The following is a 15,264-nucleotide window of genomic DNA, read 5'->3' as shown; positions in this document are numbered from 1 at the left end:
TTTTCTACTGAAAGCATCAGGACTTGAATCCAGGGCTGACTCCATAGCCACGCCTGAAGGCTGTCCCACCCCCAGGCTGGCTATCAACGAGCAGGTCAGCGTCTGCCCTCTGTCCACATCTAGAAAGGGCCAGGTGGAGCTGGTGTTCTCAAGCCACAAGCCTCAGCTGCCCCAGAAGCCACTCACTGACTCACTCACTCATTCACCCGACAGCTGTTGGTGAAGACCTCAATGTCCCAGGCACCCTACCCAGTGCTGAGGATGCAGCAGACAATGAGACCACATCCCTTCCCTCAAGGAGCTGACACTCTTCTGGGCGGAGCCTGAGAATTAACAAATAAATATAAAGTCAGTAGAGGTACAGGTACCATGAGGAGGAAGGGGATGCAGACAGGAGAAAGACGGGTTTCACTACTGGAGCTGAGACGGACCCTGACTTTGGGGACAGCACTCTGAGGATGCCCCTGTGGCCTTGCGTCTTTCCAGCCCACCCTGTCCCCTGCTCATGGAGGTGCGGGTGACCCTCTTACTCCCCACACTCTGCCTCCCTCGGAGCCCCTGCCCCTCCCTCCTTGGTTGGCTTCCAATCTTGAGGCAAAGCCAGATCTTTGAGGGAGCAGAGCACCCTCCCAATGTCCAGGGGTCTGCGTCAGAGCTGGGGAGGGGCTGGGCCCTGCTCACAGTGGGAGGCCCCCCCCTCCAGCCCTGGGGAGGGGGCAGGCTCCGTCCCCCTTTTGTTCCCCCCGCTCTTCTGCTGGGCACAGAAAACTGGGGAACAGGGCCCCTGAGCTCTGGACCCTGGAGCAGAAACTTCATGTGGGCTGAGGGCAGAGGGAAGGGCTGAATACCTAAAGCCTTGCCCAGCAGATAAAACAGCGAACAACCCCCACTCCCATGTCAACCTCAGCACTTGCTGAGCTCAGAGCATTCCAGGGTGATCTAAGTGCAGCCTCACACCGGGAGGGTTGTGCTATTGTTATCCCCATTTTCTGGAGGAAGAAACAGAGGCTCCCTGGGTCCAGAGATTCGCCCAGACTCCAACTCAGGGCCGACGACATTCAGCGGACATCAGCAGAATGGCTGAGAGCCCAGGGCATCCAGCGAGAGGCGCCAATACCAGCAGCCCCCCACTCACTCAGACCCCCACAAGACAGAACCCCCCAAACTGGAAACATCCAGTGCCAGCTCTGACCCCAGTGCAAACCCAGAGAAAGGCTGCCAAGACCAGACTCTGCTGCAGGGGAGGGCCCGGGCCCACACGGGGCGAGGAGGCTCACCCCCAGCCCTGCCCCCTTCCTCTACTGAAAGTGTCAGGACTTGAACCCAGGGCTGACTCTACAGCCGTACCTGGAAGCACTGGGCTGTCCCCACCCCCCCGACTGGCTATATGGAGGCCCCACTGGGTCCTGAGGGCAGGTGGCCGCATCACCCCCTTAGGGAGGGGGAGGGGGTCAGTCGCCCCTCAAAGTTGCACAGCTTGTGAAAGGGGGCGAGATTCAAACCCAGGACTGTCAGGCTCCCACCAGCACCTAGAGAGCAGTGGGGACAGAGGGCCCAGGAACTCTGGCGAGGAGGCTCCCCACGTCCATGGCAGCACTAGACCCAGGCATGGAGGCTCAGTCACCTCCAAGGGTGCACACAGTGGTCCTGGTGCAGGCCCTGTGGCTGCCTGGCCCCCTCAGATCCTGTTGTGAGTGGCTGTCTCTGCTGCCCCTGCCCCGACCCAACCCCTCTGCCCTAGGGCTGTGCCCACTTCCAGGTCCTTGCCCGGGGACCAGCACTGGTCAGGTATGCTGGGGAGTCCTGCCAGAATTCTGGAAGCTTTGGCCCCATCAAGGCTGTCTCTTGCCCCTGAGACTCAGAAGACGGAGCCACAGGACCATGGGAGCCTGCCCAGCCTGGAACTCCACCCCACCATGAGGCGCCTGCAGGCCTGGCGACATCAGGGCTGGGCAGGGGGTCCCCTTCCTCTGCCTCCTCCTGGGGCCAGCCTCTGTCCCTCCACTGCTGCAGTAGCAACTGCATGGGCTGGGTGTATGAGCTGCGTGTATGAGCTGCATGTCTGCACCGACCTCTGCTTGTGCCTCTCTGTGTCTTTGCATGTGTGTGCATGTGCCCATGTTGGGGTGAGCAGAAACAGCAGGACAGGAGAGAGAGGGAGAGAGGGGGAGATGCAGGCAGCAGAGGGCTGGGTGACACAAGACTGCTGGAAATGCACAGAGAGCAGGGTATGCACCGCAGCTGCAGGGAGAGGCCCTTGGAGAGAGGGACAAGAGAGGGGTTGGAGGGGGCCCAGCCAGGGGCCAGCCCAGGTAGAAGAATCAGGAAAGCAGAGGCCTGAGGGAGAGAGGAGAGGGGAGGAGGAGGAAAGCTGAGTCCAGACTGCAACAGGGGGCCCAGAGAGTGGAGTGGACAGAGGGGTACCGAGGCTGGGGGTCTTGGATGGGACAAGGAGGACAGGCAGCACCTTCTCCACCAACCATCCCGAGTCAGCCCCACAGAAAAGCCCGGGGGGTCAGGAGTAGGTGAGGAAGCAAAGTGGGGGCTCCCTCAGTCCCGGCCCCATCCTGACCTGGGGAGAGGACAGGCATGAGACCAGCCCCAAAAGGAGATGGTAGAGTCCCCCGAGGTCGCAAGCTCCTCACACTTAGCCCCCAAACACCTCCTCTGCACCAGCTGGGGCTGTGTGACCTCGGGCGGAGGACACTGCCTCTCTGAGTCTCTGAGCCCCAAGAAGGTATTCAGCCTGGTGCTCGCATGAAGGCTCAGTGAGGTGAGACCTGGGTCCAGTTCAGGTGGGTCTGATGGCAGCGCCCGAGGTGCTGGGCACGTGCCTCCTTTATCACCAGGGAGAGTGAAATAGGGCCCAAGGTACATAGTTGCCATGACCTGAGCAGAGAGATGTGCAAGCTGTAAAGTGCTGAGGACAACAGGTTGCTTATTTTAAGTGATATTCTTAAAGGTAAATTCAGGTTGGTGCCAGATCGGGGAAGAGGGAGGGAGGTGCCTTGAGAAGAAATCTCTGAGAACCCAGGTTGTAGGGACAGAGACAGCCTGGGGAAGGAGAAGAGCTGTGCTGGCTCCTGCCCAGGCCACATGGGGGTCCCACCAGAGCCAGGCTGGACCCCAGAGAGTCCCAGAAAGGCATGGGCGTCAGGGTGGGCCCTGCAGAAGGCTCGCCTTGGAGACGTGGGCTCCAGGAAACCCCTCAGCCCCAGAATCCCCTCACAATGCCCCCCCCGATTCCCCCCCCCACCCTGTTGTCCAGGGGGAGGCTGCTGAGGGCAGAGAAAAATATGGGATGGGGGAGAGAAGCTGGGGTCCCCACATTCCAACTGTGGGGTTTTTTCCATTCCCTAAAGGCAAGGAGAACAGTGTCAGGAGAGGAGAGAAAAGGGGGAGGGAGAAAAGGAGGAGGTGGAAAAAGGAAGGCAGGGAAGGCGAGGAACAAATGCAGAAGGATTGGAGCCTTGAGAGAGGCTGCCCGAGGAAAGGGCTAAATGAGAAGAGAAGGGAGGGGAAGGCGGCGAGAGGCTGCAGAGCCCGGGTGCGGCGCGGGCAGGCGCTCCAGCAGCTCCGGGTCTTCCAGAGACAAAGGCCCGAGGCCGAGGAGGAGGAAGAGGAGGGGGAGCAGGCGAAGGAGGCAGCGGCAGGGAGGGGAGGCCGGGCAGCCTGGACGCAGAGCCCGGGCCCCAGACCCAGGCAGGCGAGAGACCTGCCCCAATCCAGCCAAGGCCCGAGCTGGGGAAGAGGGGAGTGCGCTCCAAACTTAAGAGGAAAAAGTCTGCCAGCTGCCCTTGGGGTTACCACGACAGATAAAACCTCATCCAGGCATCAGAGAGCACCCTGCACACGAATGCACAGCAGCGAGCTAAAAATACTGGCTTGAGAGGGAAGAGGGTGAAGGAGGGAGGAGGGGGAGGGAGGGGGCAGGAAAGAAGAGGAGGAGAGTAGGGAGGAGGGTGGGGAGGAGTGAGGAGGGTGGGGAGGAGTTGGGGAGCAGGGAGGAGGTGGGGAGGAGGGAGGAGGGAGGAGCGTGGGGAGGAGTTGAGGAGCAGGGCTGCAGGTTCAGGCTCAGGCAGCCTCAGTTTTCCAGAGCGCCCAGTTTTGCAGAGGTGCAGATGCAGAGAGATGACTGTTTTGGGAACTGCAAGCCTCTGCCCCCCACGGCCCCTCTCTTGGATGGGGGTGAGGTGGGGAGGAAAGAAATGGAGAGAGAAAAGGGGAGAGGCAGGGACCAAGAGAACCTCAGGAACAGGGAGAGCAGAGCTGTGAAGGGCAGGGCTGGGGAGGAGGTTGGGGAGATGAGGGAGGGAAGGTGGGAGGGAGAAGGGAGAGGGAGGGAGGGAGAGAAGGAGGGAAAGAGGGAGATAAGGAGGGGGAGGGAGAAGGGGGGAGGAGAAGGAAGAGGGCAGGACAGGGAGGAGGGAGGAAGAAGGGAGGGAGGGAGGGCAGGAGAAAGGGGGGCAGGGAGGGGTGAAGTGTCTCTGGGGCTCTGAGGCACAGACCACCAAGAGACTCAGCACCTACGCTGGTCTCCTCCCATCCCCGTGCCCCTCCCACCCCCTTGCCCCACTACTGGATCCTGGGGAGTGTGGCAGGGGCTGTCAGGGTTGAGCAGTGGGTTCCCCTTCCAGGCCCGCTCCAGACAGAGGCCCCCACCCTCCTTTTGTTGGGGTCACTGGAAGGGTGGGCCTAGGCTAGGGCCCGGCTCCTTGGAGAAGACCCACCAGTGACCTAGCAGGGCCCAGAGCAGGGGCTGGGCCCGGACATTCCAAGTCAATTCAGGACTCGAGCACCCCGGAGGAGAAGGGACCCGGATTGTCCCCTGGAGTCACCTGCATCTACTGGCCAGTCTCCGGTCTGCCTTGGATCCTGGGAGTAGAGGGACAGCATGGCAGGAAGTAGCCCATTCCACCTAGACAGGAAGAAACCCAGAGCCGCCTGAGGAGGAGAGAGAATGCCAGCAGGATCATCGTGGGGGCCGGGGCTCAGGGAGGCCTCTTGGAGGAGATGGTCTTAACACCTGAGAGCTGAGAAGAATTCAGCCTCACAAAACCCAGAGACACGGTCCCCAAGAGGGAGATGGGGCTTGGAGATGCGGTGGGGTGGCCAGGCCGGGAGTGGCCCGCAGGGTTGGAGCCCAGGCCTGAACCTGGCAGGTCACCGGGTAGTCTCCTGCTTGCTCCTGAGCTGGTGTCAGTGAGAGCTGGGTAGCGGGGCCACCGGGAGGCTGAGGGACCCAGGGCCCGGGAACGTGGGAAGCGAGAGCAGCCCCTCCTTCGTTCCTCGGCAGCCTGGGGCCTCACCCCTGCAAGGTCCGGGTGGCCACCGCTTGCAGGGCCGTCCCTCTGGGAGTGCGCAGGGGGGCCGGGGGACCCTGGGATGACCTTCACCCCTCCGAAGGCAAGGCCTCGTCACGTTCATGCTCCAGCCCTTTCCCATCTGGGCTCCTCCTGTGTGCTGGGAGCGCCATGGCCTTGTGAGAACAGGGCGGCATGGTGGACGGGCGAGTGTGGCACGGCGAGGTCCGAGCCCCTGGCTACTCTCCCCAACCCTGAGAACGCAGGCTGCCTCGTAAGCTCTGTGGGCCTCAGTCTCCTGGTCTCTAGAATGCAGCCACGGGCAGGCTACCCAGAAGTGAGACGCCTGCCAAAAAAAGCCCCGTGCCCGGCCCAGAGCCAACACTTGGTCCATTGGGCCCCAGCTCAAAACCCCCCGAGAGGCCTGCCCTGAGCACCGTCCCTGTCCCTGTGTGCCCCCTCAGTCACAATTCACCAGCACGCAGCCACCCACCGAGGCTGAGCCTCTTCAAATTTGCTTCAATGTATGCCACGCACTGACTCAGGTCTCTGGGCCTCAGTTTCCTCACCCGCAAACTAGGGGTGGCCTCTGGGGACTATTCTAAGGGGAGTGGGAAGCCACAGGCTTCTCCTGACGTCCGTGTGCTCCCTCGCGTCTCACGGTACCGCATCTCCTCCGCAGGGCCTGTCTGTCCTGTGTGACGCTATGTGCCACCCCACACGTCTTCAGCCCCGGAGAAAGATTCTGGTGGTGGAGGCTGTTGAGTAAATGTTCACTTGAGCTTCTCCCACTGCCTTGGAGCCCCTCTTCTGTTTATCTCCAAATTCTCTTTGCTGACAGAGTACACAGTTCAAAACCCCACACTGGGATGAGCTAGAGGACGCCCAGGTCCAGCCCAGCAGTGGCTTCCTGTCCCCTCCGCCTCTGTACCTCTGGGGTCTCCCTCTGCCACTGCTGTCTACCGGGACGCTCTTCCTGGGCCCCTGTGGGACAAGGACTGCCTGTGGCTGAGGTCCCCCTCCATGCAGAACATAGAGCACAGGTGTGTCCCAAAGAGGAACAGAGAGAAGGAGGGGGAGGGCCCAAGAGAGACTTGGAAATGAATGCCAGGAAGCTCAGGAAGCTCAGGCGCTGGACTTGCGTTCGGGACGCCTGGCCTTTCCTTGTGTATTTCTCCTGCTGTCTGCATAAACATTTAATGCAAGAAAGAAAACCAGCCCTGGTTCTTGGGGTGTTCCCACCCTCCTGGGTCCCCGCTGGCTGCCTGGCTTCCTCCTGCAACTCCTGCTGTGTGTGTGTGTGCACGTGTGTGTGTGTGTGCATGTGCATGTCTGTGGGGCATATGTGTGTGCGTGTTTGTAATTGAGGCTGCGGAGTGGAGGGACCAGGGGTTTCCTCTGGGGACCCTGAGAGAAGGAGGCATTTTCACCACAGCCGAACAGGGCGGGACCCCAGCACCCGGGACCCAGCGGGATTTTGCCAAGGTGACGGGGGCTGGCTGGGCCATGCGGCTGTTTGTTTGATTTCCCCTGACTTCCAAACTAGTTGAAATTACACACCAAGCATCGATTTAATTAAGTTTTCCGGTGTGTGGCATAATTAGTAAGACACACGACTGGAACTGGGTGGGCGGTCCCATCCCTGCTCTTGCCTGTTGGAATTCTCAGCCCTCGGGCCACAAAATATGGCAAGTTGTAACGTAGGGGAGGGAAGCGAGGGGCAAGCCAGCCGGAGCTGTCACCTCAGGATGCCAGGTGGGCAAGGGGTCCCCAGGCAGCTCTGCCTCACAGAGGACCAGAAGCTGAGCTCAGATGACCCTCGGGGAGCCTGCCACCTTCCCTGGGGCCTCAGAAGCAGACACGAGGCGTTCAAGAGGGGCCCTGCCCTGGCTATAGCATCAAAGGACTTCAGGACAGGATCACCTGGGGGCTGTTGGGCACAATCAAATGACAAATTGGCAGTTCCCTGGACACAGAGCCCCCGCTTCAGATCCTTCATACTTTCATCTCTCACATCCTGAGAGTGTGGGCCACCGCAGGAAGAGGCCCACCACCTGGTTTGTGGTTCTCCAGGCCTGCTGGGAAAGGCTGTCCCCCTGGCCAGCTCCCTCCTGGGGAGGAGAGGCCTCTGTGTTCCCGTCCACCCGAATGGGGCTCAGACTGTCAGAATCCAACCAGAGCCCGCAGTTTGTCATTGCGCACATTGTGAACCGGAGGAGCCTTCTCGCCCAGGGCAGGCCTGGAAATGCACACGGGGTAGGGGGCGGGCCCTGGTTCTGCCTGAGCAAGGGAGAGAACTGTCAGAGTGGCCGCTCTGGTGTTTGAAAGCAGCTACCGTGGTGTGAACCACTCTCTGCCCCCTTGCCCAGCCCTCACTGCGGTCCTCGGCCGATGGCCTCCCAGCCCCACCACCACTAAACGGCTCTTTCAGAAATCCCCAGCTGCTGCTGGGGGCCAAATCCAAATGACCCATTTCTTTCTTCTCCCCTTTGATCCCTGCCACATTTGTTCCCGCCCTCCCCTGGCTTTCCTCTGGTCTCCAGGCCTCCAGCCCTGATGCCCCTCAGGGCCGGCCAGGACCTCTTCCTGGTCCCCTGAGTATTCTGTGGCTGCCAACACCTTGACCCTGGGCCTGGCCAATACAGATTCGTGATCATTCCCCGCTTCCTCCCTTCCAACTCAGGCCACCCATGGGGCCCTTTCCCTGACCATCCCAAGGGGCCCTGAATCAGGACTGATCATTTTGCTCAGCGGACACTGAGTCCCCAAGGGCAGCCCCAGCACCTCACTCCTCACACACGTCCCCAAGGCTGAGTTCAGAATGTGGGATGCAATCATTGAGTGAACATTTATTAAGCACTGACTGTGTGTCAGGGCCTGTCCTAAGTATTCTACAGGTATTAGAGTACTCACTTAATCATTCCATCTGCATATCCTCCTGTCTGTCCTCCCACCCAAGAAAACTGAGGCTCAGTGGGGTTACAACACTTATGCAAGATGACACTATTATCATATGGAATAGCTGGGATTTGAATCCTAGTCTGGTCTGTCACTGTAGCACATGGGTATAACTGTCTGAAACAGCCTCTCATCCATTCTTCCTGCCCATCGACCCACCCATTCTCCCATCCATACTTCATCCATCCTACCATCCACCCTCCCATCCATCGTCCATTCATCCTATCATCCATCCTTCATTCATGCTCCCATCCACCCTCCTATTCTTCCTCCCATCCATCTTTCCATCCATCCTTCAACCATCCCCTTATCCATCATCCAACTACCCGACCATCATCCATCTACCCATCCATCCTCCCATCCATCCTTCTATTTAACCCCCACTCATCCTCCATCCATCCTCCTATTCGTCCCCCACTCATCCTCCATCCATCTTTCCATTTATCCCCTCGGTCATCCTCCATTCATCCCTCAACCAACCTCCATCCATCCTCCACTCATCCCCCATCCATCCTTCCATCAATCCTATCTATTTTCCCATCTATCCTCCGTCGACCTTCCCATTTCAGCCTCCCATCCATCCTCCATCCATCCTCCCACCCATCTTTCCATACATTCTCTATTCATCCTCCCAGTCATTCCCCATCCTCCCTTCCATCCATCCTCCCACTTATCCTTCATTTATCCTCTCATCCATCTTTCCATCCATCCTCCCATCCACTCTTCATTCATTTTCCCATACATCCTCCTATCCATCCTCCCATTCATCTTTCCATCCATCCTCCTATTTATTCCTCTGTCCATGATCTCATCCATTCTCCCGTCTATCCTTCATTCATCTTCCCTTCATCTTCCCATCCATCCTCCATCCTTCCATCCATCTTTCCATCAATTCTTCACCCATCCTACCATCCATCTTTTCATGCATTCACCCATCCATCCTTCATTCATCATCCCATCCATCCTTCCATCCATCTTCCCATTCATCCTTCCATCCGTCTTCCCATCCATTCTCCCATTTATTATCCCATGTATCCTTTATCCATTCTCCCATCTATGCTTCATTTATTCTCCCATACATTTTCCTATCCATCTTCCCATTCATTTTTCCATCCATCCACCTGTCCATCCTCCCATTCATCCTTCCATTAATTCTCTCTTTTTCCATTCTCCCATCCATCCACCCTTCATCTTTTCATCCATCTTCCATCCTTCCACCCATCCATCTTTTTATCCATCTTTCTATCCATCCTCCATCCATCCTCCCATCCATCTTTTAATCCATTCTTCATTCATTCTCCCATCCATCTTTCTATCCATCCTTCAGCTGTCCTCCCATCCATCCTCCCTCCATCATCCTATCCATTCTCCCATCCATCCATTTTCCCATCTATCAATTCTCCCTCCATGATCCCATCCATCCTTCATTCACCGTCCCATCCATCCTCCAATCATCCTCTCAACCATCCTTCCATCCATCCCCCATCCATTATCCATCTACCATCCATCCTCTCATCCATCCTTCATTCATCTTCTATCCATCTTTCCCTTTATCCTTCATCCATCATCTCATCCATTCTCTCATCCATCCCCCATTAATCTCTTCACCCATCCTCCCAGCCGTCCTCCATCCACACTTCATCCATCCTTCACCCATCCTTCATTCATCCTCTCATCCATCCTCCCATTCTCTTATCCATCTTTTCATCCATCTTCCATTTATTCCTCTGTTCACCCTGCCATTTATCCTCCCATTCATTCTTCTATCTATCCTCAATCCATTCTCCATCCGTCCTGCCATCCATCTTTCCATCTATCCTCCCATCCATTCCTCTGTCCATCCCCATCTGTCTTTCCATCCATCCTCTCATCCATTCCTCTGTCTATCCTCCCATGCATCCTCCCATCCATCCTTCAACCATCCTCCCATTCATTCTCCATCTAACTTTTCATCCATCCTCCCAGCCATCCTCCATCCATCCTTCATCTATCCTCTGTTCATCCTCCATCCATCCTCCTTCCACCTTCTCATCCATCCTCTCATTCATTCCTCTGTCCATCCATCCTTCAACCATTCTCCTATCCATTCTCCCATTCATTCTCCATCCATCTTTTCATCCATCCTCTCTTCATCCTCCATTCATCTTCCTTCCACCTTCCCATCCATCCTCCATCCATTCTCCATCCATCCTCTCATCCATTTTTTCCATCCATCTTCCATCCTTTCTCCCATCCATCTTTCTGTCCGTCCTCCCATGCATCTTCCCATCCATCTTTCCTTTCATCCTTCAACCACCCTCCCATTCATTCTCCACTCGTCTTTTCATTCATCCTCCCAGCCATTCTCCATCCATCTTTCACCCATCTCCATCCATCTTCCATTCATTCACCCATCCATCCTCCCATCAATCCTCCCATCCTTCTTTCCATTCATCTTTCATCTATTCCTCTGCCCACCCTCTATCCATCCTCCCATCCATCCTCCTGTCTATCCTCCATCCATTCTCCATTCATCCTCCCATCCATTCTCCCTCCATCTTATTCTTCATTCATCCTCTCATCCATCTTTTCACCCATCCTCCCATCCATTCTATCTTTCCATTTGTCCTCCCATTCATCCTTCCATCCATCTTTTCATTCATCCTTCAACCATCCTCCCATCCATTCTCCCATCCATCCTCCATCCATTTTTTCATTCATCTTCTAAGTCATCCTCCATCCATCCTCCATCTATCCTCCCATCCATCCTCCATCTATCTTTTATCTTTTCATCCATCCTCCCAGCCGTCTTTGCCCAGTGCTAGAGGGGACAAACACATGACCTCCGGCCACAGGATAGTGGCTCTACATGCTGACTCTTGGCACCCAGGGCCTGATGTTTGTCCAGATGCCCAAGCCCCTGGGGGATGCCCTTGCCTGCGTATGTGGTGCTCAGCAGTGTTTCAGTGAACCTTAACCAACCTTGGGGGTCTGCTGGGCAGAGGGGGAGAGCCAGTGTCTGGCTCCTGGCGAGTTGCGTGCCCTTGTACCAGCTAATGACCCCCACGGCTCTCAGCCGCCTCCCTGTCTGCTGTGGAGGGAATGCTCCCAGGCTGCTGTGAGGAGGCGGCCAGAAGAGTGGGGACGGGCCTGTGTTGTGTGTTTCCTCCTCTCCAGAGAGCCTGACCAGGGCTGACGAATGAGGGCGTGCAGCCCAATTCACTGTCCATGGATCTACCTTGGAGTTTGGGGTCCCTGCGGGGGTGTGAAGCTTCGGAAACTCTCCTCTGTCCCCCCGCGCCATCCTTTTCCCTTCCAAGACAGGATCTGGCCTCTTGAAATTCTGCACACTAATAAAATTGTAACTAATTTACATCCGAGATGGGGAGTGAGTGGCAGCGGTTGTCATGGAGACCATCTCCAGGGCCCGGCTGCCTCCGCCTCTCAGTGCAGCCGAGAGATCAAGAGATTCTCGCCGAGTGCTGCAGCTGGGGCCAGTCCTCATGCCTCCCGGGCACCCTGCCCTGCTCCCCCCATGCTGGGCAGGTCCTTAGGGGACGGAATGGAGGCAGCCCCCCTTGGAAAGGCCCCAAGTTCTGCCAACGGTGCTCTGAAGGTCAAAGCCCCTCTGTCCTGACTGTGCCCCCAACCCTGCCCCTTCACCCCGTGGGCCCCACTGGCTTCCTTCCCTCCAGATGGAGACCCCCCCCGAGGGACATGAGGCCCTATCCCCACAGCACAGCCAACAATGGCACTCAGAGTGGGGACAGTTTCCAGGGAAGGGGCAGAGCAGCAGAGCCCGGAGCCACCCACAGATCTGTCCTCCTGGGGTCCACCCTGGGAAATGCCCCACCCTGGACTCCATGAATCCCAAGATGAAGAAAATGCCCTCCCCGGCCTCACAGAGCTTGCCTGCCCACAGGAAAGACGTTGAAATAACCAGTACTGGCTGGGTGCGGTGGCTCATGCCTATAATCCCAGCACTTAGGGAGGCCGAGACAGGCGGGTCACTTGAAGTCAGAAGTTTGAGACCACCATGGCCAACATGGTGAAACCCCGTCTCTACTAAAAATACAAAAATTAGCCAGGCGTGGTGGCTCGTGCCTGTAGTCCCAGCTACTGGGGAGGCTGAGGCGGGAGAATTGCCTGAACCCAGGAGGCGGAAGTTGAAGTGAAATGAGATCATGTCACTGCACCCCAACCTGGGCGACAGAGCGAGACTCTGTATCAAAAAAAAAAAAAAAAAGAAAGAAAGAAAGAAAGAAAGAAAGAAAAAAGAAAAGAAATAACCAGTGCTGTGACTCCGTGCCACATGCTGTGCTGAGCCCTTCACGTGTGAGATCTTGTCTCAATGTCAAGGTAACACAACGCAGTGGGCAATACTTTAAGTCCCCATTTTATCACGAACAAAAAGGCTTTAGACAGGTGGGTAGATAACACCCAAGTTCAGAGCCCTGGAAAGTATAAAGGCCGGAGGCAAAGCCAGATCTCCTCATTCTAAAATCATCATGGTAAAGCTGATAAGCTGCCTGCAGAGAAGAAGCAGGATGAAATAATTATAACGAAGCAGGGTCCATGCAGGCAGAGAATGGGGTGAGGGAACAAACGGGCCCTGAAGAATCATGATATCTAAGTTGGGTTTTGAGGGAGGAATAGGAGTTCCCCAAGGGAATACGTGGAAGAAGAATGTTCTAGGCAGAGGGAACATGTGCAAAGGCACAGAGGCAAGAACCTGCCCAAAACATTCAAATACCATAGGCTGAGTGCTGGGGTTGATGTGGAGGAGGGAGGCGTTCAGTAGGAGCCAAAGAGGGAGCCAGGCCCCAAGTGAGTGGGTTTCACTCACCAAGCTGAGCGCCCTGCACCTTATCCTGCAGATGAGAGATTAAAGAGCTGGCTCCAAGCAGGCCCACCCCTGACGTGTGGGCCCTGGGCAAGAGTAGAAATGGAGGTCCAGGTAGAAAAGGTCTAGATGTTTCCAAGTCAGAGAAGCAGCTAGGACGCTGCTGGCTAAAGAACTCTTGCCAGGCTCTCATTTTTATTCTTGTCTCTTCAGCGTTTTCCACCAGAACGTGAACTGGTCCACAGAACGTGGCCACAGTCCCCCAGCCTGAAGGGAGACTTGTGAAATGCAGATTCCTGGGCCCTACCCAGGAGGCCATGCTCCGATAAGGATAAGGTGCTATCTTTAAGAGTTTCCCCTGGTGATAATTATACATGAAAGTCAAGAGAAGCCCCCCAACCCCCACCCTCTGCTGAAAGTAGCAGGAGTCTGAGGGGTGGGAGGTGGGGGTACAACCAGATTTGTGTTCTAGAAATGGATCCCCAGCTATTGGGCAAAGGTGGGCGGGGAGGAGAGTTGGGAGGGGCAGAGGCCTGGCAGCACCTAGGTTGGAGAGGGTGGCGGCCTGGTGACAGGGCAGGACCGTGTGGCTTTGGGGGGGCGGGGTAGAGGGGGTGGTACGCGGTTGCGGGAGCGGTCCGGGGTGGAGGTTGTGTCAGCAGAGGCTGTGTTTGAAATTCACAATGGACAGGGCCTGGTGCTGATGAGGCTTGAAGGTGAGCAGGGATCCAGGGCAGCTCCTTTGGGATCATAAAATCTAATCAGGCTGCAGGAGGCCTGGGCCCTGGGTGGACTCCATTAGGCAAGAGCCCACTCCCCTCTGCTGATCCGGGCATCCCTGGGGCCCCTTAAGTGTCACACTGAGGGTCAATTCAAGGCTCTGAGTGGCGGAAGAAGAATTAAAAGCCCGCCTCTGTCCCCACCCACCCCGATCCCCTACAGGAGCCTGCAGCCATGCTGGGGAGGCTGGAGGAGCAGCTGGGAGCAGCAGGTCACCAGGAAGGAAAGGTGGGCATGCCTCAGGAGTGGGGGAGTGGAGTGGCCAGGAGGGGAGGCTTCCTACTCGAGGAGGACTTTGGACCCTCCCACTTTCCATACACGGTTCCAGAAATCATCTTGATAATAAAAATAATAACCGTGAAAACCACAGCAGCAACTATTGCCCTTGATCGAGCAGTTTTTGTGCCAGGCACTGAGCACGCAGCAAAGAAATGGCAGACTGGGCTCTCAGATCCTGAGCCATGGGCTGGAACCAGCTTTCCCTGTGCCAAGCAGAGAGGGGCTTAAAACTCAGCTCCTACCCTTGGAACACTCCCAAGCTGTTTGGTCATGAGACTGCTGGAGATGCCTCTCTGGGAGCATCTAGAAGGCTCTAGAAGGTCCATGCCTCTCTAGAAGGCTATGCTGGCAAACACCAGCTTTTGAGACCATGGGGGACTAGACCGTATTTATCAGCTGCAGGAGTTCAGAAGAGAGAGAGCTCGTGGGAGCTGCTGGGAAAGGCATGACTTGAGCTGAATGCTGAAACAGCGGCCGCATTTGAAGAAGGGAGAGGAGGTGGAGAAGGGATCCTGGGAGGAGGCTCCAGCCTGGGCAACGGTGTGGGAGTGGGAATGCAAAAGGAGTTTAGAGAAGGTCAGTCGGCTGCAGCGGCTGGCGAGTCACAGGAGGCAGGGATGGACACAGGTCGGCCCAGGTCTGGGGCGTGTCCTTCTGCTTATTTCTATACATCCAGGAGGGTTTGACACCAGGACATCAACGCATCCACCCTTGTCAGGCCTGGGATGGTGCCCCACTGTTGGGGATGGGTTTGGTGAGTTCCTAAGAACAACAGCCACCCCGGAGGAGGCCTCATCAAGAAGGGGACTGAGCTGAGGCTCTTGGGAAAATGGAGGCCTCAGATCGCCCCAGAATATTGGAAAAAAGGCTCCCATGCCCCACACCCACCTTGACCAAGGGCCTAAAACCAGGTGGGCAACAATGCAGGTCCAGTCATCAGCTTGGCCTGACTGTCCCCCGTCTGCCTCTAGCAGAGGTGAATACCTTGGGTCCAAGCCCTGCTCCCCCATTTACTATGTGACCCCAGACAGGTTCCTTAACCTCTCTGAACTCAATTTTCTCACTCATAGAGCCAGGATAAAAACTCCAACCTCCAAAAGTGTATTGATTTGTATTAGGATT

The 15,264-nt window shown here is 56.6% G+C and overlaps 3 annotated features.

The window, feature by feature from the left end:
* Window positions 520-1,124: an enhancer, noted in NCBI's record as "H3K4me1 hESC enhancer chr9:132167302-132167906 (GRCh37/hg19 assembly coordinates)". NCBI's record gives its function as "activates a minimal SCP1, AML or CMV promoter by ChIP-STARR-seq in naive H9 embryonic stem cells {active_cell/tissue: H9 hESC(naive)}" and the evidence as "EXISTENCE:reporter gene assay evidence [ECO:0000049][PMID:30033119]".
* Window positions 1,125-1,730: an enhancer, noted in NCBI's record as "H3K4me1 hESC enhancer chr9:132166696-132167301 (GRCh37/hg19 assembly coordinates)". NCBI's record gives its function as "activates a minimal SCP1, AML or CMV promoter by ChIP-STARR-seq in naive H9 embryonic stem cells {active_cell/tissue: H9 hESC(naive)}" and the evidence as "EXISTENCE:reporter gene assay evidence [ECO:0000049][PMID:30033119]".
* Window positions 6,155-7,099: an enhancer, noted in NCBI's record as "H3K4me1 hESC enhancer chr9:132161327-132162271 (GRCh37/hg19 assembly coordinates)". NCBI's record gives its function as "activates a minimal SCP1, AML or CMV promoter by ChIP-STARR-seq in naive and primed H9 embryonic stem cells {active_cell/tissue: H9 hESC(naive and primed)}" and the evidence as "EXISTENCE:reporter gene assay evidence [ECO:0000049][PMID:30033119]".

The sequence above is a fragment of the Homo sapiens genome, chromosome 9 (genome assembly GCF_000001405.40).
Source record: "Homo sapiens chromosome 9, GRCh38.p14 Primary Assembly".
Taxonomy (NCBI): Eukaryota; Metazoa; Chordata; class Mammalia; order Primates; family Hominidae; genus Homo; species Homo sapiens.
Note: the sequence above shows the minus strand (reverse complement) of the source record. Positions and strands in the feature narration are given on the sequence as shown.